Raw genomic sequence first — 26,717 nt, 5'->3', positions numbered from 1 at the left:
TTTTAAATCTACATTTTACAGCAAAAACAAAAAAAGTTGAGTAAAACTTTAAGCATTGCATAAACTACTATAATATCTTTTAGTTTTCTGATACTAGTAACAGTAGATAACATCTTGAACCTTTATCATCTGCTGAGTGCTAGTCTTAATATACATTATTTCTGCTCCTTATAACAAAATTTCAACGCAGTAGGCATTATCCATTTCTCTTTGTAGTTTTATGTGTGTTTACTTCATGTATTTTGACACGCTTTTATTAAGTGCATATTCGTTTAGGATAGTTAGGTCCTCTCAATGAATTTATATGAATAATTCACCATTATGAAATGGCCTTCATTTTCCCGAGTGAAATTTTTTGCTCTGAAATCTACTTAGTATTGTATTAATACAATCATTTCAACTTTATTTTGATTTATGTTACTATGATATAGAATTTCCTATCTTTTTACTTTTAACCTACTTTTGTCTTTATGTTTAAAGTGGATTTCTTGGAGGTCTCAATCTGGCTTGTAATTGATATGTTTATACCACTTGTATTTAATGTATTTATGGATGTTTTGGTTTAAATGTATCATGTTGTTGCTTGTTTTCTATTTGCACTATCTGTTCTTTTCCCCTCTTTTATTCTTTTTTAAACTTATTTTGCATTAATATTTTTTAATGATTCAATTTTATCTCCTTTGTTGGCTTATTAGCAATTGCTCTTTTTATGGTATTTCGGAGGTTATTTGAAGGTTTATCATATACAGTTTTTGCTTACCATGATCCAATGTCAAGTGTATTACATACCTTACGTGTATTAAAAAACCTTATAACACTATACTTCCATTTTCCATTCCCATGCTTTGTGCTGTTGTCATACATTTTATTTCTACATGTGTTATAAACCTCACAATGCATTTTTTTGCTTTAAATGGTCAATTATTTTTAAAAGACATTTAAATATGTGATAAATTCTTTTGTATTTTCCCACATAGTTATCATTTCCAGTGCTCTTTATGTTTTAGTGTTGACTTAGATTCTCATCTGGTATTGTTTTGTTCTTGACCTTTAACACTTCTTAGAATGTAGGTGTGCTAGTGATGTATACTTTCTGCTTCTGCATGTCTTAAAATGTCATGACTGTAACTTTCTTTTTGAAAGATATCTTCATAGGGCATAGAATTCTAGAGTGACTTTTTTTCCCAATGTTTTAAAGATGCTGCTCCACTGTGTTCTTGCATTGTTTCCAACAAGAAATCTGCTGTTACCTTTATTTTGATTCCTAGTTGTGTAATGTGGCTTTTTTTCTCCCTTCTGTCTGCTTTTAAAATCTTTTCTTCGTTTAAAAAAGCAGTTTGACCGTAATGTGCCCTGGTATAATTTTCTTCACTTTTTTTATGCTTCAGGTTTGTTGGTTCATGGATCTATGGGTTTAGACTTTTCACCAAATTTTGGAATATTTTCGGCCATTATATTTTCAAATATTTTTCATTTCCTTTGGGAACTATAATTATGCATATATTAGACAGCTTATAGTAGTCCTATAACCTACTCAAGCTCTGTTCTTTTTTCTTTAGTGTTTTGTGTTCTCTGTGTTTCATTTTGAATAGTTTCTATTGCTATGTCTTCAAGTTCACTTTTCTTCTACTTGCCTACTCTGCTATTAATCATATTCAATGTATTTTCCATTTCAGACATTGTAGATTTACCCTCTAGAACAGGAGGTAGCAAAATATGACCCATGGACAATTATCCCTTGGCCCTTTTTTTGTATAGTCCACGAGCTAGGAATGATTTTACATTTTAAAAGGTTTTCGTAAGAAAGAATACTTTAAGTGGCCTGCAAAGCCTGAAATATTTACTTTCTGACTCTTTATAAATAACGTTTGCTGACCTTAACTCTAGAATTTTATGTCTTTTTTGTATTATCCATGTTTCTATTTTACATGTTCAATGTTTCCTCTAGTTTCTTGAATATATGATATAATTATGACTGTTAATGTCCTTGTACATGAATCCTTATCTTGTCACCTTTATCATTTCTGGGTCAATGTCAATGGGTTGGGTTTTTCCCCTTATGATGGGTTATATTTTCCCCTTTCTTTGAATTCCAAATAATTTATGATTCAATGGCCAACATTGTAAATTTTGCTTTGCTGGTTTTTGGCATTTTTGTATTCCTATAAATATTCTTAAACTTGTCATGGGGTGCAGTTAAGTCACTTGGAAACAGTTTGAATCTTTCAGATCTTGCTTTTATGCTTTGGTACATGGGACAAGAGCAGCATTTAGTCTAGGGTCAATTTTTCCCTAATATGAGGCACAGCTCTGTGAGTATTCCATGATATCTTGTGAATTATGACATTTTCCACTCTCTTTGGTAGGAAGAGGCATTATATCCAACCCTGTATGAACACTTGGAATTGTTTGAAATAATTCTTTTCAAGTGTTTCCCCCAGCTTCAGATGGAATTTGTACATAAATGCACTTTTCATTACCCAGCTGAAGATTCATGGGAGATCTGCAGATTTTTGGAATTCTCTATGTAGCTGTTACCACTCCTCTACTCCACCCTGCAAACATTACCTACCATGGCCTCCTCTGACTTCCAGGTTTTTCTCAACTCAGAGATCACCAGGCTTTGTCTGCGTTCCTCTCCCTGATGCACAACATGGACACTTTCTCCATGCAGTAAATTAGAGCAATTATAGAACTTCTCTTATTTTCTTTCTCAGGCATTATTGTCTTTCGTCGCCTGATAGACTTTTTCTAGAAAAACATTATATGTATACATACATACATATATGTATGTATCAACATATATATATCTATATATCTACATATGTATCTACATATATGTATGTATTTTCTATACACATACATGTATCTACGTATCTACATACACATATATGTGTCTACATACACTATATATGTATCTACATACACATATATATGTATCTACATATACGTATATATGTATCTACATACACGTATATATGTATCTACATATACATATATGTATTTTTCATTTGATTTTTTTAAAGGCCCTTCACAATTTAGCACCTACCTACCTTTCCATCTTAACCTTTGCCTTAGCTAAACCGATCATATTTCAGTCTTGGCACTTTGGCTCACTTTCTACCCCTGCCTAAGATTCCTTCTACCTTCTCATGCACAGTGCCATGGGACTTAGATAACGCAGATTTCCAGTCTCTTAGAATCAAAATAGGGGTATCTTCCAATTTCTTAGAGAATTTTTACTTTAGGTAGGGTGTGGTGCCTCATGTCTGTAATCCTAGCACTTTGAGAGGCCGAGGCAGGCAGATTGCCTGAGCCCAGGAGTTTGAGACCAGCCTGGGCAACATGGCAAAACCCCATCTCTACTAAAAATACAAAAAGTTAGCCAGGCGTGGTGATGCACAACTGTAGTCCCAGCTACTCAGGAGGCTGAGGCATGAGAATCACTTGAACCCAGGAGATGGAGGTTGAAGTGAGCCGAGATCATGCCACTTCACTCCAGCCTGGGCGACAGAGCGAGTGAGACTCTGTCTCCAAAAAGAAGAAGAAGAAAAAAGAATTTTTACTTTAGATTGTCCTTACCATGGTATTAGAATAGCAAAGTAGAAGGGATTAAAGATTAAAATATATTTTTTCAAAAACTCTCCTTTCTCTCAAAGATATTTTTATAAATTAGAGAAGACTTGGGCTGGACTATATCTAAATGCAGAAAATAATTGCTATTTCATATTGTTTGGGGAGGTCTATTCTTCTACCTGTCAATGTGGTAAAATGAAAAGACTACTAATAATTTGGGGAATTGGATTCAAACTCTAGTGCTGTCCCTAAACTGTATGAATCTAGGCAAGACATATTAATCACCTGAGTCCTCAGTTTCTTCTGTGTTGTGAAAAAGATGCTAATGTCATGGTCTCCATCATCTGTGATTCTCCTGTTTTAAGATAACCTTGTCAGTTCTAATTAGTTTATTGCTTTCATTTCTTTCAATATGCGTTTGATATTTTCTCAGGATATTTCATTAAGCAGGAGAGGATGAGTGAAGTAGATTTTGGGCCCAGTTTGGTCTGCTCAATTCTTTACAAGCTGTCAGTCTAGAAGCTGAATATTTTGTTTATCGTGCTTGTGTTTTTGAGATAGTCACAAACGCTTCATGTATACTCTCTTGGCTAAGAAGGTATTAATCTTAAATTGAGTGTTTCTGGGATATATATTATATAAAAGTTTCTTTGAGGCAGGGAACATCTTTTACTCTTCTTTCTATCTGCCAGAGTGCTTTGCACAAAGCAGGCTCCAATTAAATATACTTTATACTCTCATGTACCTTATCTCATTTATGAAACAATTTATTAAGAACACATGTTAAGATAATACTTAATTAAAATTCTGAGCCTTTAGGAAAAAAATCCAGATATAACCCACTTATCTTTTTTATCTTTAAAGAGTTAGTTTATTATTTTTGGTCTTGCTAGACACAGTAAAATAAAGATAAATAAAGTAAAATAAAGGGTAATAAAATTATGTCTTTTCTGAAATCAGTTTAATGAATCCTTTAAACAAATTAATAGTTTGCCTTTCTTACATGTAGGCAGAGAGCATAAAATTTAATGTTAGATGATTTTTAAATTCTAATGAAGATACTATTATTTGCTCACCTTTCCCTTTATCTCCACAGGGCAAATAACAAACAGATCTTTAACATACCTGGACTGGAATGTTCTGTTATGACTGATATGAACAGTCATTTATCTAAAACTATATTTTATTTTACTGATAATAACAAGGCATAATGTCAGCCTTTATTTTTTTTTAGTTTACTCTAAATGTCTTCTGCTACCAGTTTATGCCCTTCCAAGCCATCCTCTACACTGCTGAGTGATTTTTATAAAATGTAAATTTTATTATGTTATCATGCTTAGGATTAAAATTCTTTGGTGGCTGTCTAGGTTCAAGTGCACATGTCTTAGCAAAGCTTATAAAGGCTTATAATGTCTGCATCTGGGATGGAAGTAACTTTGGCAGAGGGAAATAAAGGGTTCTGGAGCAAATGGAACCAGGAGGAGAGTATGAATAGGATGGCTTGAGGAAGCTTTTCCAGAGATGAGGACTACAATTGCTTTCCAGTGGGCATCAAGGTTGATATTTAGATAAGAGTATTTCCAAAGTACCAAAACAATGAGACAGATTAAAAATGAAAAGGAGTTATATGTAAGGAGTAGAACTCCCCTTCATGTAGTGTGTGTGTGTGTGTGTGTGTGTGTGTGTGTGTGTGTGTGTGTGTAGGGACAGCTTGGTGGCTTAAAGGAATTAGAACTGGACAAGAATGAACCTTCACAATCTGTCACCTGCTAACATCTCCAACCCCCTTACTCACTCCCTAAAGTCCAGTCTTCTGAATGCATTATGCCTTTCTCTCCTTTGCCTTGAAACCATCACAAATGGTATCCTCTCTTCTAAGACTCAGGTTCTTTCTTCCTGAAACTTTTCTTGGATCTGTCCGCCACTTGGCCATGGCCTGTTTAATTGCTTTCTTTCTGTGTTGTCATAACATTCCATTCACATCTCCCTCATCACACTCATATACTCACGATATTTTGTCCCCCAAAACCAGATATGAGTTTCTCGAGGTCATGCTCTGTCTCTTGTTCATTTTTTAATCCCAAATACTCATCACAGTTTTGGCAGATAAAAATCAATATGTTACTATTGAATGAAGGAGTTTACAAGTTCCTAATCAGTTAATTAACTAATTAATTACTCTTGTGGCTCAAACCAAAGTTTGTTACTCTCTCACCTTTCATTCTGATCCTGTCTTTCACCTCTTGACTCCACTTTTTTGGTCTCTTGCAGACCAGTGTCTTCATGCCGTTTCAGTTCTCCATAGTCCTACATTCCACCATCCTACTCTCTTTCCCTGCCTATACAAACCCCAGCTCCAAAAGTGGTGATTCAGTTCTATCAGTGAGATGTGGGAAATTGAAACCAAGGTATGAATGATGCTTAACCACTTCCCAAGATATTTGCATTTCTGTTTAAAATTAATTTTACTGTAAAAATAATACATGCTTATTTTGGGCAAGGTAAATAAATATTTAACAATTATTTACTTGTAGACACTGAGAATACAGCAATGGAAGGGTGGGGAGGCAAAAATCTGCTATCATGGAGTTTAAGTTCTAGTGGAAGGTGACACCAAACAAAGGAGATAGGTATATAGTAAATTAAAAGGTAATAAGTGCTATATTCCTGTGTGTGGGGGGGGTGGGGGGGAAGGAAATGGGCAGATAATTTATCATTTTAATTGATATGTTGCTGAACTATAAGGCCACATTTTTATCAGATAGAGAAAGAACTGTACATCATTATCACTTGGAGATCCTGTATTTTGAGCTGGACATAGTGACTGGCTGGGATTTTGAATTGTCTCTTTTGAGAAAGAGGTTAGCTTGTGTAGGAAGAAGAATAAAAGACTATGTGATAACCAGTAGAATAGGTTCAGCAGAAACTGGCTAACTGTTGACCAAACCCAGTTTTTCTTCTGGTACACAGAGAGATTACATTTCCCAGCCTTTTTTGCAGTTAGAAGCAACAATATACGAAGTTCTAATTAGTGGGATGTTAGTGGAAGTAATGAGTGCCACTTAAAATGTCCCATGTATATTCTCCTTTTGTTCCCTGTTTGCTGGTTAGATGCTAATTCTCAGGGCAGCCTGAGAAACTATGTATTGAAGATGGTAGAGGCTCCATCAGCCTGAGTATCTTGATCTTGAAGACAGTACCTCACACGTCGCACTCTGAAATTATGCTCTCCTCACCTCCTTGACACTGCCACTAGTTGAACAACAGAGGAATAAGAAATCAACATATTTTATTAAACCACAGAATTTATAAGTTATAGCAGCTGGTGTTCCCTTGACTAATACAATAAATAATATTATTTATTATGTTTGGGAGATATCTATCTACTTCTAGTATATTGTGGGTGTTTTAAAAATGAGGAATTGGCATTGAATGTATTAGGTACCTAATGTATTAGGTACCTTTTGATATCTATTTTTATTTTCTCATTTGACATATAAATGCCACATGGTTATGTCTAGTGTTCTAGATTAAACTGTCCTTTAATTTCATGAGAGTAAAATTTCCTTGGTGGGAACAGATTTTTCTTTTAATATATATTTTGTTTGTTTGTTTGTTTTTTGTTTTGAGACAGGGTCTCGCTCTGTCGCCCAGGCTGGAGTGCAATAACGCAATCTCGGCTACTTGCATCCTGGGCTCAAACTGATCCTCCTGCCTCAGCCTCCCAAGTAGCAGGGACTACAGGCATGTGCCACCATGCCTGGCTAATTTTTGTGTTTTTTGTAGAGATGGGGTTTCACCCTATGGCCTGGGTTGGTCTTGAACTTCTGGACTCAAGGATCTGCCTGCCTCGGCCTCCCAAAGTGCTGGGATTATAGGCATGAGCCACCACTCCCAGTCTTAATATATTTTTGAATTTGATTTGGCAGATTGTATTTAACATTACTTCATCTATATCCATAAATGCTATTTTGTTTAATTTCCTTTCCTTTCTTTTTACTTCTTTCTCTTCTTCCTCAAGTAGTCTCCCTTGGTTTTTTTGTTTTGTTTTGGCATTTGTCAACTGTTGATATCAGATTTGTAAACCTGATCAAATCAATTTGGAAGTTTTTTTCTTTTTAGTTATATCACATGGTATTTTAAAAGAATTTGTTGTTAAAAACCATCTTGCTCTATAGTCCTTTTATATTTTCCCAGAAAAAGATTATGTTTTCAGACAGGCTTCTACCTAGCATATATTCTTTTTATTATTTCTGGTTTTCCCTATGAGCTCACATACAAAGTTGGAAAATAAGGTTCCCTAGGGTATAATCAAGGTAAGGATAATGGCCAGAAGTTCTGCATAGGTAATGATCCATGTTTTTATAAATATATTTCTATGTAAAATATTCTAAACATATGTGAAAAGATAAGAATAATGCACACTTGAGCCACCACAACCCATCTTTGTCAAATGTGAATACTGTCTTTTTTTTTTTAACTTTATAACTTTCAGTAGGTTCTGCTTTTGGGACTGAATCTTGATGCTGCCTATGTTATGAATTTTAGCTATGTTTTGATACAGTTATTTCTCATTGTCTTGGAATAATTACTTTGAAAGTTTCATCATGTGATTTTTAAAAAAAATGGTAAAATTAATATCAAAACAAGTTATTGTATATATGATATGTTATATATATGTATTATACATATAAAACACAAACTAATTGTAAGGCTACATGCTAGTCACATTAGTTTTCTTTTAATTCCTTGCTATATAGGCAATACAACATACTTGCCGTTAGTTCTGGCTCTTCAAAAATAAGAAAACCTAATTTAATAGTCTGGTGCTTAAAAACAAATGCAATGAAATCATCTAAATTTGGGCTCAGCTGTGCAACTCTGGGACAGTTACTGTCCTAAATTTCTTTATTTGTTGATATGGTTTGGCTGTGTCTCCACCCAAATCTCATCTTGAATAGTAACTCCCACTATTTCCACATTTTGTGGGAGGGACCCAGTGGGAGGTAAATGAATCATGGGGATAGGTCTTTCCCGTGCTATTCTCATGATAGTGAATAAGTCTCACGAGATCTGATGGTTTTAAAAACAGGAGTTTCCTTGCACAAGCTCTCTCTCTCTTTTTTTTTTTTTTTGAGACGGCGTTTCGCTGTCACCCAGGCTGGAGTGCAATGGTGTGATCTCGGCTCACTGCAACCTCCGTCTCCCAGGTTCAAGCGATTCTCCTACCTCAGCCTCCTGAGTAGCTGGGATTATAGGAGCCTGTCACCACGCCCAGCTAATTTTTGTATTTTTAGTAGAAACAGGGTTTCACCATGTTGGTCAGGCTGGTCTCAAACTCCTGACCTCATGATCCACCTGCCTCAGCCTCCCAAAGTGCTGGGATTACAGGTGTGAGCCACTGTGCCCAGCCAGCTTTCTCTTTTTGCCTGCTGCCATTCATGTAAGATGTGACTTGCTCCTCCTTGCCTTCTGCCATGATTGTGAGGCCTCCCCAGCCATGTGGAACTGTAAGTCCACTAAACCCTTTTTCCTGTATAAATTACCCCCTCTTGGGTATGTCTTTATCAGCAGTATGAAAATGGGCTAATAAATCAGTAAAATGGTGAAATAACAGCAACATTATGGAGTTGTTGTGAGCAAAAGCATGTAAGGTGCTTGGTTTAGCACCTATTACATAGTAAGAATTCAATACAAATTTATTATTTTATTTTAGAAACAATTTTTTCCTAAAGAAGATTATTTTTTTTTTATGTCTTGGCATTTAGAAAATTAACTGTGTTCATGTTGTTTTATGAATTAGTAGTATCCTCACCTTCCAAGTAGATAAGAACCTATTATTTTTGCTCCTGCGAAAAAGCAGAGGTGCCTAACTTGCTGTGTCTCCTCACATCTCTCCCCTCTTCCTCCCCTCCAAGTTCTTTGGATCAACTGGAGAGAGGGGTGTCATAGAAGTTTTATCACTTGGCATTGTCATACCACAGTCTACTATAAGGAAAACATACCAGTGAACCAGTGAGTCTGGTCTTTCCTCTTAGTGGAGAGAAGGGCATATGGTCACAATTTCTCTACCAGATGGAAGAGGAGTGGCTTAGTTTTCAGTTTTGTTTAATCACCATAGACTTTCACTTCAGATTTCCCACTTTCTCAATCCCAAAGTAGGTTGCTGCTCTGTGCTTGATGGTAACAGCTCACAGACTCATCAGAATTGAAATGAACAAATATTTATTTATCTTTTATAACAAGTAAGGCAATGTTGCTTAAAGGAAGACAAACAAACATAAAAGATTCCGTTGACAATGCATTTTTTCATCTGTTCGGCACAATGCTTTTGTCATAATGGAGATGTGACAGCAAACTTTCCAGGACATTCAGTCTTCGGCGGCAGCACTTAGGGCAGATGACTGGCCGCTGCAATGTGAATACAAGAATGCCTGACTCACCAAATGATTTCCTAGAATAGTTAGCTGGGTGGAGACTCACCAAGTTAATAACTAAACCCAACCCTCAAGTCCATTGGCAAAGGACATATTTGAGCTTAATGACTCTGTATACACCCAGAAAGATAAAGGAGGCTTTGAGATCCTGCTTGGTAGACTGGGAAGAAGAAAATGACTCATTAGGTACCTGGAACACTGAATGGCCTGCACTGGAAATATTTTGAAAGGTGGGTTTAAGTACTAAACCAGTCTTTCAGAGGCTATACCGTATCAAGCCTGAGACAGATGATGATTCAATAAATGACTTTTAAGAGAGGGAAAATGTTGTGCAACAGAAACGTAGGGCAGAACAAATAATCTCTGCATTATGAACAGGTGAGTCAACAGCTGTGCTGGCTTAGAAAATGAAAAACTAGTTAAACACCTCCACAATTTTAAAACATTTTCTACTTAACTATAACGTTAAATGACCTAAGGTATATGAAGCATCTATCCCAGTGTCTGGCTGACACATGGTGTCACTCGATATACTTTTCTTCCTTTCATCTCTGATCTTTGCTTTTTTCGATTTGTTTGTTTAAGAGAAAAAAGTACTTTAAGATGATATTGCTGTCTAGTTTCATGTAAGTCCATATTTTGAAGATATTAGTGTCTAAAGTCTAGCACTCTCTGTTGGTTTTACTATTAACAATAAACAAACATGACAGGAAATTTAGTCATCTGTATCAAACATCTGTCATGTGGTTCAGAAATTATTTTGGGGCAACATTTTGGAATGAAGACTGTTAGCTCGCTTTGGTATACTCATGACTTTGTTGAAACAGTACACATAGCAAAAATATAAATTTTAAAAGTATCACTGGTAACTCCATGTAGTTATTCATTTTGAAATGCTAAACTATGAGTATTGACATTTTAAGTTTGGATCCGAGTTTTCTGGTCCTTTCCCTGAGAAAATAAATGATGCTTTGAAATATTAGCGAATTAGAGCAACTTTTCAACTTTTCTACAATAGATTATTCCTCAGGCTAGAAAAAAATTGAATCCACAAATACCACTCAAAGTCATTTCATTCTAAATCAGGATAACAAACACTCTCATACATAAAATCAAATATACAAGAAATGAACAATCTAAAATATATGGATGCCTCTTTTTCAGCTCTATCCAGTCACCTATTGCATGTTTTCTTAAAGTGTATATTCAATCATTCTATATATTTAGAACTTCATTAAACTTTGAGATAACCTCAAAATATATTTTGTCATCAACATTTAATCATGTATCTCTCACTTAAGGAGGTTTTTACTGAATCAAGGTTTTTCTTTTCTAGAATATGTTAATATCACTATCTTCTAGGACAAAATATCAGTAAAAAATTCATGATGATTTACCTGACTGAGCATATGTGGAATTTTTAAGGCTGGATTTTAACTCTTTCGAGAACTCACCTTCCTATTTTGTACGCTTTCTGCCTCTCTGCTCCAACAAACACTGTTTGGGGCAAGTTTAACCTCAATAGATATAACCTTGTTGTTGGGCCAGTCCGTCTACCGACAGGACGTAACTTGTAAGAAGGAGAGGCACTGGTGTGCGAGAAAGATTGCAGCTGGCAGCTGAGAGACAGGTCTGCCACTTCCCTTCCCTTTGCTTTGCTACCAAATCTTTGCGTGCCTCAGAAGTAGGCCATGTAACTCAGGAGTGCCAGGAGCTGTGACTGATACCAGGCTCTTTGTAAGGAAGAGGAGAAAATGCAGGATGCAGAATAATTGAAGGGGAGGTGGTGCTCCCCAAAGGAGGAACAAAGAAAGAATGGTCTGAAGACTTCAAATGTTTGGCAACCTTATTTTTTTTACCCAAGGCCAGCATTTGTATGAATATGGGTGCGTGTGTGAATTTGTATACAGGAAGGAACTAGCATTGTGAAATAACCCCAAACACGACTGGTCAGTCTGCCTCCCTTTGAAAAACAACAATAAAGAAAAAAACTACTTTGAATAATCTTATAACAGGAAATAACACAATGGAAACTGGAGAATTTTGATGTGGAAAAATCTAAGCACCTGGAACAATAGATGCTAAGTAATTAAAATACTGTGCATATATAATTGAAGTTGAAAATAAACAAAGGGAATTTTAGGCACCCAGTTTAGTTTACTAGGCAGCAAGTAAGGTAATGAAAGTATGAGTCACCCATTTGCTAGGTTTTCAAACATATCACAGATTTTTAGCACTCTCATCTTCAAGTATAATTGTAACCCTTATTCTCTTTGGATTGCAACTTTCTTCAGATCGTAGTAGTAAAGAATTGACAAAGGATTGATTGCACACATTTCAGAAAAATACGTACTGGTAATTTTAAAAATCTATTAATAATAAAGATGAATGGGTTATTGCAGAATTAAAAAGGCTTATGTATCATATTTTACTTTAGTCAGATTAGAGTAAGTTGCTCCTACTATTATGAAGTAGAGATGTCATGTATGTGACTAGTTATTAGACAGCCATCAGATTATTGTGATAAATACATACCTACATGTAACCTAGATCATTACAGGAAGAAGTTACTGAAGTAATAACACACCGCAGAAACAATACCATGATGATAAGTGTTAAGGAATGAAGTTCTTTCCCTATGAATTCTAACTAATTCATTATTTTCACAGTCTATCTCATTTCAAGACCTGTATTTCCCTTTTAGACATAGGACACCTGGGTTGTCTGATCATAAACTCTTTCTCCAGTGGCCTTTGGCCTTTTAAGTAGATCTGTTTTGTTTTGGCAAAGAAAAAAGAAAGGAGGAAGTGAGGAGGAGGGACTTGAAGATGTGCTACTGCTGGAAACAAATTTTGATTTTCTAGTTTTGCTTGGTGGGAAGCCTACTTGTCATTTGTACTACTCTTCCACAGTTAGTGTGTTTGAGCAACTTAAAGTTCAGTGGCAGCTCCTCATAGACTCATTGTTCAGAGTTTGTTTATTGTGAAGAACTTGCTTTTAACGGTTTATTTATAAAATGCTCCTTACTATTCTTATATTAATTCTTTACATCACTTTATTCTTCATTCTCACTTCCTTTGTTTGCCTCAGTTTGATTCATTATCCTTCAATCGTTCAAATATCCTTCATTATTCAAATTGCTGCTTTACTGACCCATTCTCTAAACGTATTTTTTTATATTGACAACTGACTCCTTGGAAAGAGTGAAAATAATAATACTATCTATTAGGGAGCTTTACTAATAATCCTATAATGCTTTGTGAATAATGATTAAGATATTTAATAAACTGTATCTTTGAAGTGATCATTGATGAGATTGCTTATTTATACTCAAAACAATGAAACAAACTACTTAAAGTTGAATAAAAATGCATTTATATACATGAACTACTTGCAATAATTAATTCTAAAATATCTATTAGGCTAGTAGTACATTGTATGAGAAGTTGAAGCCATATTCAGGTCGGGGGTAAGAAATATTTTAGACTTTTGTATTAAGTATGAAAACTCAGGTATTAGCCTGATGTTTCTTTGACTAAGCCTTGTACTTTATATAGCTTGTTCTATGTGCAGTTATGTAATCTTTTAGAGTAGCTGAAAGGATATTAAAACAATATCTTTCAGTTTTGCTTTTCTTTTCCAGTAACAAGCTTCCATGTTAATCAGCATATTCAAGCTTCCTTCTCATTAGTTTTTAAGAATTCTAGGAAATACTTTCCATGGCATGTTGTGAGAGATTTTATTATAGGATTAAAATCCTTTCAGCAAACAATAGGCACACATGAGGCAGGGTCCAGGTATTCTGTCTTATAAGCCAACACTACACTTAGGTAACTCTAGAAATGGACTACATTTAATTATTTTCTACTTTGTTTTTATGGCAAAAGCAGCCATGTCAAACATTTTTCAGATCATATCTTACCTCAGATTCTCTATCTTGTTTCAGGACAGTGGAAAAGCTGCTGGAAAAAAATGCGAAAACAATTTTTTGACTTGAGTTCATATTTTTCATTCAATGTCTGCGGGGCCCTCAATGTAACTTTTTTTTTTTTTTGAGAGGGGTCATCCTCCAATCATTAACTACTTCTAATCTTCACTGCTACACAGAGTTTCCAATATTTAGCAACAGATGGCTTTGCTTTTACCTTATAGATGAGGCCAAAGCACCAGGTAGGTGGAAGGTTCTTGTATCGGTTCGAACCCCGACAGCGCGCCAACAGACAACACGAGGCAGTGGGGAGCAACATGCTGTTTTAATGAGCGCCTGGGTGCAGGCGTGCTGAGGCTGAAAATGGCATCAGCACCAAATGAGGATGGGGCAGGGGTTTTATAGTCTCCTGTAAACAGGAAGTGTCTCAGTCTGATGTAACTGCTACGTGGTACCTGGACGGCCTCTCTCTCGGTCTTCACAGGGTACATATCTTCCGGCCAGCTCTCTTCCTGCTTCTGCTATCTTGCTGACGCATGCTGCTAGCACAAGTGGCCTTGCACCTTGGGACTGGGCCTGAGGAGGGCGGAGTTATTCATTCCCTTAAACTTTCAGGCCCCGGGGAGAATCTTTCAGTAAGAGCTCTTTCAGCTTTACCAACTACAGTCTACACACTTAACCTGCTTCCACGCACACCCTCATCGTTCTCTTTCTCGGTGGAAAATATGTGCTTCCCTTGGCAAAGGCCAACCTGTTCATCTGTGCTCCTGAACACAGCCTCTCCAATGTACTTGTTATATATATATGTGTGTGTGTGTATATATACACAACTATATATATATATACGTATATACAACTGTATATGTGTGTGTATATATACACACAACTATTTATGTATATACATATATGTATATATCCCTCCCACCATGGGGTCTTCCCATTTTGCCCAAGCTGGTCTTGAACTCCTGAGCTCAAGTGATCCACTCACCTTGGGCTCCCAAAGTGCTGAGATTACAGGCATGAGCCACTGTGCCCAGCCTGTCCTTGTGCCTTTGATTCATCATTTATCCTCTCCTTCTTCTTTATTTTTCCACTGATCCTTTGTCACAGGCCTTAGTCTTCTGCCAGCTGATAAATGGGAATATTCCACAGGTTCAGTTCTCGCCCTTTTTCTTCTTTCATTATGTACATCACAAAGGAGATCTTATCCACATTCATGGCTTCTGCACACACATTAAAGCCATGTACACCTGCCTTCAGCCCTAGGTGAGTTCTAGGTGCCCACAGGACCTCTCTACCTATCTTCTCAAAGATAAGTCAATCTTAACATGTTCAAAATGAATCCATTATAATTGATGTATTAGTCTGTTCTCACACCGCTAATAAAGACATACCCAAGACTGGATAATTTATAATGGAAAGAGGTTTAATTGACTCACAGTTCAGCATAGCTGGGAGGCCTCAGGAAACTTACGATCATGGCAGAAGGGGAAGCAAACATGTCCTTCTTCACATGGTGGCAGCAAGGAGAAGTGCAGAGCGTTGGTGGAGAGCCCCTTATGAAACCACTAGATCTCGTGAGAACTAATTCACTATCACGAGAGTAGGATAGGGGAAATCATCCTCATGATTCAATTATCTCCACCTGGTCCTTCCCACGACACATAGGAATTACAGGAACTACAGTTCAAGATGAGGTTTGGGTGGGGACTATATCAATTGAGAATTAAAAAAAATCATTTCTTCTGTATTACCCTTGTTCTGTATTCTCTCTATAGTGAATGGCATTATGATTGTCACATCCTGAAACCTAGGAATCAACTCGTGTCTTCCCTGTCTCTTACTCTCTCACCTTCAGAGAATCACCAAGCTCTGTTGAACTTAATAATAATTGACAATGCTGAATATGAAAGGCATTTTTTAAAGAAGACTAAATGTATTTTCTCAATTTTCACAGTCACTGTGTTATGTGGGTGGCTAATATCACCTCCATTTTAAAATTAAGAAAATTGAGGCACCAAGAGGCAAAATAACTTGCTTTGGTCACACAGGTAATAAACGGCAGGGATGGGATCCAAATCTAGGCAGTTTACAGCGCTGGCCTCTTAACAACCATACCATGGTCGGCTTACTAAATGCCAGGATCTTAAATACCTCTTCAGTTCATTTCCTCCTATTCTTTCTCATTTTGGTAGAGTTGGTTCATGTGCTTCTTTTCTGCTGTGTAACTTCTTACAACCTGCTGCTCTAAATCCATTTTTAAGTTATCTTACTAATTAGCCTTCATCAACATTTTCAGGAATTTGGCTAAGCTATGTCTTTGTAATCTATAGATTTGAGATTTTGTTTCAAGAAAATTATATTCAATTATATATTTGAATTTTTCCCATTCCATATATTATTTTCTTCCATGAAAGTGATTATTTGTTTAATGTCCATACCACCTCCTTTCTTATTTTATCTCTGTTCTTTTCCAATTCGTTTTATGTTATTTACTCAAGGGCTTTCTTTTTGTCCTAGACTGTATTTTTATCCATATATATGTGTTACCATTTGTTGACTCTAATGAGAATTTCACCTCTGTAATAATTTCATCTTATGCTTCTATTCATCTCTGAGCTCCACACACCCACTGTTTATCTCCTGTTCTTGCTTCATCTCTCTTTTGATCGATCTCTTGTTATTCTTTCAGGATAATTTTTTTTTTTTTAAGGAAAGCCAACTTGCCTTTAGTTTCTTTGAGTCTTGGGAGAACTGTTTGTTTGAAATTGGCCTATTTTTCTATGAATAGGTCCTGAAATTTTGTGTTCTTCATTTGCCTTTTGTTTCCTTTTTTCTCCTATGTATTTTTTCTTTACTGTCTAACCTCTACCAGGGAAATGGATGTTTCAGAAAGAATTAAAGGTAAAGACAAGTGATAGTTTCTGAAATTAAAAAATAAATGTATACAAGTTTTGAGAGAGAATTTTATAAATTCCTTAATCTTTCCTACTTAACATACCCAGGGCTGAGCCTGGATGACCTAGAACACAGAGTTCTACCGTAGTATAGAAAGGATGTCCCTTCAGTCAATGGTAGTGAACTCAGAAAGCTTGCTTTCCAACCGGGAAGGAAGACAGGATGTAGGGAAAGTTAAAGAAAAGCTTGTCTATTTTTCTAGGAATAAAAGGGGAAGGGGAGAGAAGAAAGAGAGAGAAGGAAGAGATTCAGGAAAGTTGTGTTTCAGTTTTACATGTGCTAACTAAGTGAGGGCCGAACAGGCCGAGGACTTTTATTTCTGTTTCCTATTTTGGATTTTGAGAGGAGCTTAACTCTCAGACATCCCTGAAGAAATCTGGAGCATGGCTACATTATCTTGGAGGCATAGCAGAATCAGGTATTTGGAGGTTCTTAAGTTTAATTTCCCTGCTGTCTTAGTTTGTGTGCCTCCAGAGACAGACCTGTGGCAATGAGTGGAAAGGGTTTTGTTTGGGATATGTTCCCAAGAAACACCAGTAGATAATGGGGAAGTTAAACAGATGGGAAGAAAACCAATAAAGGTGTGTTATCACATTATCACTGTGGGCAATTGGAGTTTGATCCTGCTGGGGAACTCTGGGGGACAGTTTACAACACTTACTTCCAGTTTATCCAAGTTATTGGTTGAGAACTGCTCCCGAGAAACGTTAATTCCTTGGTATTTTCAGCCCGTTGTGTGTTCAGACTGAGTAGTCACTGATGGCCAGAGAAAGCCTTCAGGCAAAAAATGGAGGCATTGGCAGGTGAAGGGCTGGTGTATACGGAAATGGCAATTGTTGAAGAAATATTGGCAGTGCCCTGAAAGTATATGATACTGCTGTCACGGTATACTGAATATATAGCATTTAAAATGAATGAAGTAGAGATACATTTACTGATGTGATAAATCTCAAAAGTACAATAATGAATGAAGAAAAGTTATTGAAGAATGCTACCACATGATTTCATTTATATAAAGCTTAAAAACAGGTAAACCAAACAATATGCATAATTATATGTATCATACCCGTGGTAAAGCTGCAAAGAAAAGCATGGAATGATATTCACAAAATTCAGCGTAGCGTAGCATTTGCCTCTTATGGGGGAGAAAGGGAAATGAAGGTTTTGGTTATGTTCTATTTCTTAAGCTGTATGGTAGGTAAATGGGTGTTTTATTATTATTCTTTAAACTATACATATAAATTATACTTTCTTGTTTGTATATTTCATTAAAGTAAATCTAATTAATCTAAAAGAGGCATATTAATGTTAGGTCCCTTTTCTTGCTTTAGAAAATAAATCACAGGAAATTGTAAGCATTTTAACAATTCAGTTGCATGGAAACAGCTGAATACCAAACTCGAACTCAGTCACCAATTCTGATACCAAGTTGTTTTTATTTTAAGTTTCTAATATTATGTAACTTAAATAATACAATACACCTAGACACACCAAAGCAGTCCTATCTAGGTGTCAAAATACTGCTAGTCAATTCTAATAATGGAATGATAAACCACAGTCATGGACTATATTTCCATCCTTTAATATTTTGGCTAGAGTTTTAATTTAGTCTCTAGGTGGAACATACATAGATCAAACTAGATCAAGGGATATTCTCAAAGTGGCAAAATGACAACCTTCGACTTTTTAAAACTCAGAAATCACTCTTCTCCCCGTGAGGACATATATTATTTCTCCATATGTGGTTGGAACCACAGAAACTATGGTTGAAAACATTGTTGGGACAAACAAGCATGACTATTTTTAAGACTCTGATGATTTCGGATATAATCAGCACTGAACTAGTAAGTCATATGTAATTAGGTTGATGATATATTTAATGTCTAATGGATCCTGGCAACCTCTGATCAAATGCCTTTCAGTTAAACATCACAACAGCTCCAGGGCATGAGTCCTCTTTGTCAGTACACAAATGGATATTTACATAGACCCACTGTGCAGCTGAATTCCATTATCTTAGTAGTCCACGTGGAGAGACAACCAAATATCTATAATAGGAATGTTGAGTAACTCCCTTCAGCTTTATCTACTAAATGTGTCTTTTAAAAATCTTTTTAAAACTTTGTTGTGAAATACAGTATATAAAATAGAAATGCACAAAACAACAAAAAAAATTGGCACATTATTCTAAAGGCAACACCCATTTAACCACCATCCAAGTCAATAAGTAAAACAAGGCTAGCACCCTTTTAAGCACTCATGTGCCTTTCCTCTGGGCAAACCCCTCGGTACCCTTCAGAGGAAACCACTACCCTGGTGTTTTTGTTTTCTAGGAAGACGAGGGGAAGGGGAGAGAAGAAAGAGAGAATTCCTGAATTCCTGGCTTTGCTTTATAGTTTTGCTGCCTAACTATGCATTCCCAAGCAATATAGTTTAGTTTTGCCTGTATTTAACTTTTATAAATGGAATCATAGTATTTATGTTACTGTGTCTTGCTTCTTTTGCCCAATATTATATTCCATTAGATTCATCCATGTTACCCTACATAGGTGTTCTCCTTAAGCTTGTAAATGTGTCTTACATGATCTAGCTGCCATGTTTTGTAATTTCTGCAGCACTCTAGGGATGGGAGGTATCAATAATTCTACTTTGGTATGTATGTAATTGTAATTAGCCTGGCCCATTTTAATTAGCTTGGCCCTTCCACCATATGATAATACTTAAAAAAATTATAGAATGTATTGAGTATATACCATGTTCTAGGATTTTATGAAGCACTGTTCATGTGCTATTGCTGTACTCAAGATCATGCTGCCTAGTATGTAGTTTTAGCATACCTTTTTATAGACAGGAAACTGAAATTCAGAAAGAAAAAGTAAATTCAGAGTGTAGCCTTTCTGATATTTCATTATTAGGAACCCTTTTTTTTTTTTAGCTATTTTAGTCATATTAAGGGAGTGAGTAAACTTACCATCTTATAGTAATCTTTTTCCATCTCACAAGCTCTTGGTATTTTGCTCTAATGATCCATTGGTGCTTGCATACAGATAAGAAACTGAAATTCAGAAAGATGAAGGTAACAGCTTTAACAGCCTTTCTTCTATTATTCCCACAGTGCTTACTTCCTTCTGTCTGTGGCATCTATAGAATATTGTCCATGAACTTCTTTTCATGGGAGTAATAGATAGGTGACCTCCCATATTGTAGGAACCCAGATGGGCAGTCTAAACAGTAAGGGTGTAAGCGTGGGAAGAGCACAGAACTAAGGATTAGGCTGCATCAGTTCTACACTTGATTGTCATTATCTAGCTAAGTGACCCTGAGTAAGTCACTTACCCTGTCTGGGGCTCAGTTTCATCATGTATAAGTGAGGGTGTTGGTCAGTAATTTTCAAACTGAAGTTCAAAGACTATCTTGAGTTCTTGTTTTAAATGCAGGTTTCTGAGCCTCATTGAAACCTCCCAGCCTGGGAATTTGTGTATTTAACAAGCTCCCCAAGAGATTCTGATGCTCACCATAAGTGAGAACCCGTGGAGTAGGTAGTGGCCCAAGCCCCACTGGTTTTAAAATTCTAAGATAAAATTTGAAGTTCTGGAACTTTAGGGTTTTTCATCAGAGCTACGGGCCTACTTATTTCAGAGTTCTGTGAGTTTTGTTAATAGAAGGAAATACAAAGTCATTAAACTTCATGATGCTAAATAAACAGTGGTTATCATTGCTGTGAGCAAACAGCAATAGCACAGGTTGAGGATGCTAGTTATCAAAACAGCTTGGGGTTGTTTGATGTTCATGAACTGAGTAAAAATAAAATACTGCCCCTGTGAAATTATGTCCACGTCATTAAAACCATTAATACAATGTTGCAGGAAAAAGCAGCTTAGTCTCTCTACAAGACATAGCAGTATGAGTACAGCTAACAATGGATAATATGTAGAGTGCCATGCAGTCTTATTAGGTAAATTAAGTAGTTGTAGTCTCAAAACAACTTTAAAAGTCAGCTCATTTAATTACAAAATATGCTAAATATATCACCCAACAGATTGGAGACAGTCTGGTTGGCTGATTTATTTTTACTTTGATATTACATTTCTTACATGTTTAAAAAATTCTTTTGTGACCATTTAGGGAGGAAAAAAGTCTCCTTGTGTAACATTTAGTACTTTCCTGGGTCTATTCTTTATATTCTGAGGAACTGGAGTCACTCAATTAATTACTATAATGTTTTGTGTTTTCTTTTTCACAGGAATAACTAACCTCAAATTTGTAACCGTTCTGCTTTTTGCCACCCAACATACCCTGCAGTGGCTCTCAAACCTGTACCTGAGGAAAGTGGTCCACTCCCACCAGTGAGAAGACTCACAGGGCAGCAGGGATTCTTAGCTAGAGGGCATAGCCATTGAAAGAGATGAAAACGGAATCTCCTGGAGTGTGTGTGATTTCAAAAAGCTCCCCAGGTATTTTTCCACAGTGCTCCAATTGCAAAGCTGAGTCCAAAACCCATCAATTAGCATCGTTTTCATACTGAATAGTAGGTTAGAAACCTTAATACAGGAGTCGTTTATCCTGTATAAACTAGATGTTAGTATCTGAAGTAAACAGAGAACTTCACTATCAAAAGTATGTGAATGATTGGTCAAGAGTGATACTAGATTCAATATTATATGTTTATTAATTTCTACGTTAATATAGACCTTACAATTTATTTTCTTAACCAGTTTCCCCTTCTTGTTTCCCTTCTCCCTTCTTTCTAGCCGAGATAAGGTAAGATAGATAAAATTGTTTAGTAATTATTTTTAATTCCTACCCCTCCTCCTCTTCTATAAAAGGCTTGTGAGTTGATTCTTGAAGGCCAGGTGAGGTTGATTACCTGAGAAAAGTCAGATGGTTTATCAGTCAGAAGGGAGAGCATACTCAATGACTTGGACAGTGAGAAGTCCATCTTGGCTAAAGCATGGAAGGAGGTGGTTATGGAATGTCTAGGGAGAACCAATCTCGGCTTGGTCAGATGTCAGGCTGAAGAGGGAATAAGAGTAAATGAGGAACTCTAGAAGTTTTTTGAGCGACTTAATGACATAAGGTAACTGGTGTTCTAGAAAATTAGTCTGGCAGCAGGATGGAGGATGGCTTGGAGAGAAGAGCAAAAAGAAGCAGGGAGGGTTGTTGGGAAGACGGAAACAGGTCTGAGACAAACAAAGAAGTCTTGACAGCACTTGAGCAACTGAAGAAAAGGGAGGAAGGGTGAGTTTTGAAAATAATTTGAATCAAATATCAATAGGACATATTTGCTGTTGGATTGCGAGAATAGGGAGAAGATAAAGACTCAAGATCTTCAATCTGGGCTTCTTCCCTCTATCCTGCCTTCTTCACATATTGCCATTTTCTGTCTCTTCCTAACTGCCAAACTTCTTGAAAGAGTTGTTCTCACTTACTGTGTTCACAATCTTACTTCTTTCTCACCACTTTAATGAAATGGTTCTGGAAAAGGTCATAAATGACTTAACTTATAAATGGAGTGGCCTCTTTTCAGTCCTCATTCTCTTAGCACCCTACAGAGCGTTTGGGAATATTGACTTCTCTCTTCATCCTAAAACATTTGCTTCCATGGGCTTTTATAACGTTGCACCTATTTGTCTCTTCTCCCACACCTCTGTTTACTTTTTAAAATCTTTGAATGGCTCTTGTCATTCTGTTAACATCTTATATATGTGGGTCCTTGGAATTTTATTCTTTTTTTTTTTTTTTTCTGAGACTGGGTCTCGCTCTGTCGCCCAGCCTGGAGTGCAGTGGTGTGATCTTGGCTCACCGCAACCTCTGCCTCCCAGGTTCAAGTGATTCTCCTGCCTCAGCCTCCCAAGTAGCTGGGATTACAGGCACGTGCCACCACACCTAGCTAATTTTTGTATTTTTTGGTAGAGATGGGATTTCACCATGTTGGCCAGGCTGGTCTCAAACCTCTGACCACAAGTGATCTGCCCGCCTTGGCCTTGCAAAATGCTGGGATTACAGGCATGAGCCACCATGCCCAGCCCAGAATTTTATTCTTACTCTTCTTATCACCTCATTCCCTGAATCCCCCACACCACTGCCAAATTCTGAGTCATCAACTTCTATAACTTTGCCTATCATTTACAGCAAATCCCAAAATTACAGCTTATGCCCAAATGGCTCTCCTGAAGTATAGACTTGTAGTTTCCATTGCCTTCTGAATGTCTCTACTTGGATGACTCATAATCATTTCAAAATCACGATGTTCAAAACCAAATTTCATATATCCTCCACCCACACAAAAAACAACAAAACCCACTTTTCCTTCTCCATTTCCTATCTCAGTTAATGATATTGCTCTCCAATTATTTAACTAAGCTAAATCTGTCCATGCTTCTCCATTAAACACCCATATATGGTTTGTTTTGTGTTATCCTCTTGACTCTCCATACTCCGTATCTACTGCCATTGCCTTTTTCCAGGTCTATGTAGTTTCCCACTGAGACTCCTCCTAACTCATCCCAGTTCATCTAGTTGCTCTACACTCTAATCTATCTTCCACATCATCACCAGAGATATTTTTCTAAAATAAATCTGACGATTTTACTCTTCTTCTTACAAATAGACTGCAATCTCCTTGGCCTTGGGGGAAAATCTAAATGTCTCCTCAAGGCATTCATGGGATGATCTGACTTGAACTGGCCTTTCCAGACTTATCTCCCAACAATGCTCAAATGCTCAGTCTCTGCTTCATTTGTGTTAAATGATGGTATCACTCTCTTTCCTGGTTCTGTGACTTTGCACATCTCATTCCTTCAGTTTTTCCCCTGAATTCTTCCTAATAAATGTCTATTCTCTTGTCAATGAGCAAGACACAGGAAACTTGAAATTTTCTGAGCATTCAGATTCAAGAGGATTAATTTGTATGTTACACACATAGTATCACTGTAAATGAACTTTGAACCAACTTATTAATTTACAATGAAATGTATAATGCTAGCAATTTTTTTTTTGAGACAGGGACTTGCTCTGTTGCCCAGGCTGGAGTACAATCACATGATCATAGCTCACTGCAGCAGTGACCTCCCAGGTTCAAGAGATCCTCCCACTTCAGCCTCCCAAGTAGCTGGGACTATAGGCATTCACCGTGACACCTGACTAGTTTTTTAAAAATTATTATTTATTTTTAGTAGAGACAAGGTTTCACTATGTTGTCCAGGCTGGTCTTGAACTCTTGGGCTCAAGTGATCCTTTTGTCTTGGCCTCCCAAAGTGTCAAGCAAATTTTAAAGTTTATACTTTTAACTCAGAATGAAATAAATAACCTAAATGTAAGACCTAAAACCATAAAACTCCTAGAAAAAAACATAGGGAAAAATCTCCTTGACATCGACCTTGGCATTGATTTCTTGGATATCACACCAAAAGCTCGGGCCATAAAAGTAAAAATAAATACATTAGACTACATTAAACTAAAAAGCTGTACAGCAAAGGAAACAGTCAACAAAATGAAAAGGCAATCTATAGATTGGGAAAAAATATTTGCAAGCCATCTATTTGATATAGGGTTAATATCAAAAATGTATAAAGAAAGTATGCAACTCAAAAGCAAGAAAACATATAAGCTAATTTAAAAATAGGCAAAGTACCTGAATAGACATTTCTCCAAAGAAGACACAAAAATGGCCAAGAGGTCTATGAAAAGGTATTCAGCATCACTAATCATCAAGGAAATCCGAATCAAAATCACTGTGAGATATCATCTCACACCTGGTAGGATAGCTGTTAACAAAAAGCCAGGAGATAACAGGTGTTGGCAAGGGTGTGAAGAAAAGGGAACTTTTGCACACTGTTGGTTGGAATGTAAATTGGTACAACCATTATGGAAAACAATATGGAAGTTCCTAAATAAATAAAAAATGGAATTACCATATGGCCTAGCAATCTCTCTTTTGGGGTATATACACAACGGAAATGAAAGCACTACCTCTTAAAGATATCTATACTCCCATATTCATTGCAGCATTATTCACAGTAGCCAGGATATGAAAACAACCTAGGTGTCTGTCAGCAGATGAATGGATAAAGAAACTGTGGTATACGTTTATACAATAGAATATTATTCAGCCTTAAAAAAGGAGGAGATCCTGCCATTTCCCACAACATGGATGGACCTGGTAAGTGAAACAAGCCAGACAAAACAAAAGAAAAATATTGCATGATTTCACTTATATGTGGAATCTTAAAAAAAAAAAGGTCAAATAAATGGAGATTGAAACTAAAACAGTGGCTACGAGGCTCAGGTGGAGGGGAGAAAATTGGGAGACGCAGGTTTAAAGTTCTTCATAGATAGTAGCAGATATGTAGGCTGACCAAGTCTAAAGGTCTAATATATAGCATGAGGACTATATTAAATAATGGTGCATTGTATTCAATATTTTTGCTAAATGAGTAGATTATAGCTGCTCTTGCCACAGGAGGGAAAGGTGGATAACTATGTGAGATGATGGATATGTTAATTTGTTTCACTATAGTAACCATTTTACTGTACATATGTATCTCATAACATCATGCTGTATACCTTAAATATGCACAATAAAATTTATTCTAAAAATTTTTTTGAGACAAGGTCTTGCTCTGTCACCCAGGCTGGAGTGCAGTGGTGTGAACATGGCTCACTGCAGCTTTGACTTCCTGAGCTCAAGCGATCCCCCTGCTTCAGCCTCCTGAGTAGATGGGACTACAGGCTTGTGTCATCATGCCTGGCTAATTTTTAAATTTTTTGTAGAGACAAAAATCTCCCTATACTGCCCAAGCTGGTCTCAAACTTTTGGGCTCAAGTGATCCTCCTCGTTCAGCCCCCAAAGTGGTAGGATTACAGGTATAAGCCACCATGCCCATACCTCAAAATTTTAAAAAAGAAGAAAAAATGTTTATGGTTGCTACTATGGGAACTTGCTTCTTACAGGAAAATCTCCATGGGAAGTGACATTACACTTAAGTTATTAATTGGGCATAGATCGGCATAAGAGGACTAAGTTGGATGATCCTCATGGCCCACCAAGCCACGAAAGCCTCATCATTCATCAGTGTTGTAAGAAGGTATATGTCAAGGAGGCAGACTATGAAAACATAGCTAGGATTTTGTCTATTGGGGATAATTCTAGAGATAGACTAGAAAAGTCATTGCTCCCTTTTTCTAGAATGCAGAGCAAACTGTGTCCCTCTGGTACCACATTCTCTCCTTATAGTCATGAAACCAGAACTTCTCAGGTTTATTTAGCTGTACAGTCATGCGTCACTTAACGACAGGAGTACATTGTGAGAAATGCATTTGTTAGGTGACTTACTTGTGTGAACATCATAGAGTGTACCTACACAAACCTAGATGGTATAGCCTACTATAGGCCTAGGCTACAGGTATAGTCTATTGCTTGTAGGCTACAAACCTGTATAGTATGTTACTCTACTGAATACTGTAAGCAATTGTAACACAATGGTAAGTAATTGTGCATCTAAACATATGTAAATGTAGAAAAAGTATAATACAAATAAGGTATAAAAGATAAAAAATGGGCCAGGCATGATGGCTCACACCTGTAATCCCAGCACTTTGGGAGGCCAAGGCAGGAGGATCACTTGAGGTCAGGAGTTTGAGACCAGCCTGGCCAATGTAGTGAAACCCCATCTCTACTAAAAATAGAAAACTTAGCCAGGTGTTGTGGCAGGTGCCTGTAATCTCAGCTACTTGGGAGACTGTGGCAGGAGAATCACTTGAGCCAAAGAGGTGGAGGTTGCAGTGAGCCAAGATCGCACCACTGCACACTACTCCAA

General features: G+C 36.8%; 2 long non-coding RNA genes across 4 annotated transcripts; one reads left to right on the top strand and one right to left on the bottom strand.

Moving 5' to 3' along the window:
• On the bottom strand, positions 9,785–15,000 carry LINC01610 (long intergenic non-protein coding RNA 1610). Its single transcript, NR_125857.1, has 4 exons — positions 14,930–15,000; positions 14,159–14,517; positions 13,936–13,975; positions 9,785–9,987 (listed from the first exon to the last, which is right to left on the bottom strand). It is a non-coding gene; the product is annotated as a long intergenic non-protein coding RNA 1610 (long non-coding RNA).
• LOC105377847 (uncharacterized) lies at positions 9,994–25,027 on the top strand. 3 transcript variants are annotated; one of them, XR_942667.1, is made up of 6 exons: positions 9,994–10,243; positions 13,960–14,183; positions 21,143–21,353; positions 21,651–21,660; positions 21,993–22,137; positions 24,907–25,027. It is a non-coding gene; the product is annotated as an uncharacterized LOC105377847 (long non-coding RNA). The 3 variants fall into 3 exon arrangements; XR_942668.1 differs by lacking the exon at positions 21,651–21,660; XR_942666.1 differs by lacking the exons at positions 21,651–21,660; positions 21,993–22,137.
• The last annotated feature ends 1,690 nt before the right edge of the window (positions 25,028–26,717 follow it).

This window comes from Homo sapiens, chromosome 6, assembly GCF_000001405.40.
Source record: "Homo sapiens chromosome 6, GRCh38.p14 Primary Assembly".
In the NCBI taxonomy this organism is placed as follows: Eukaryota; Metazoa; Chordata; class Mammalia; order Primates; family Hominidae; genus Homo; species Homo sapiens.
The sequence above is the reverse complement of the archived record's forward strand: the minus strand, read 5'-3'. Positions and strand labels throughout refer to the sequence as shown.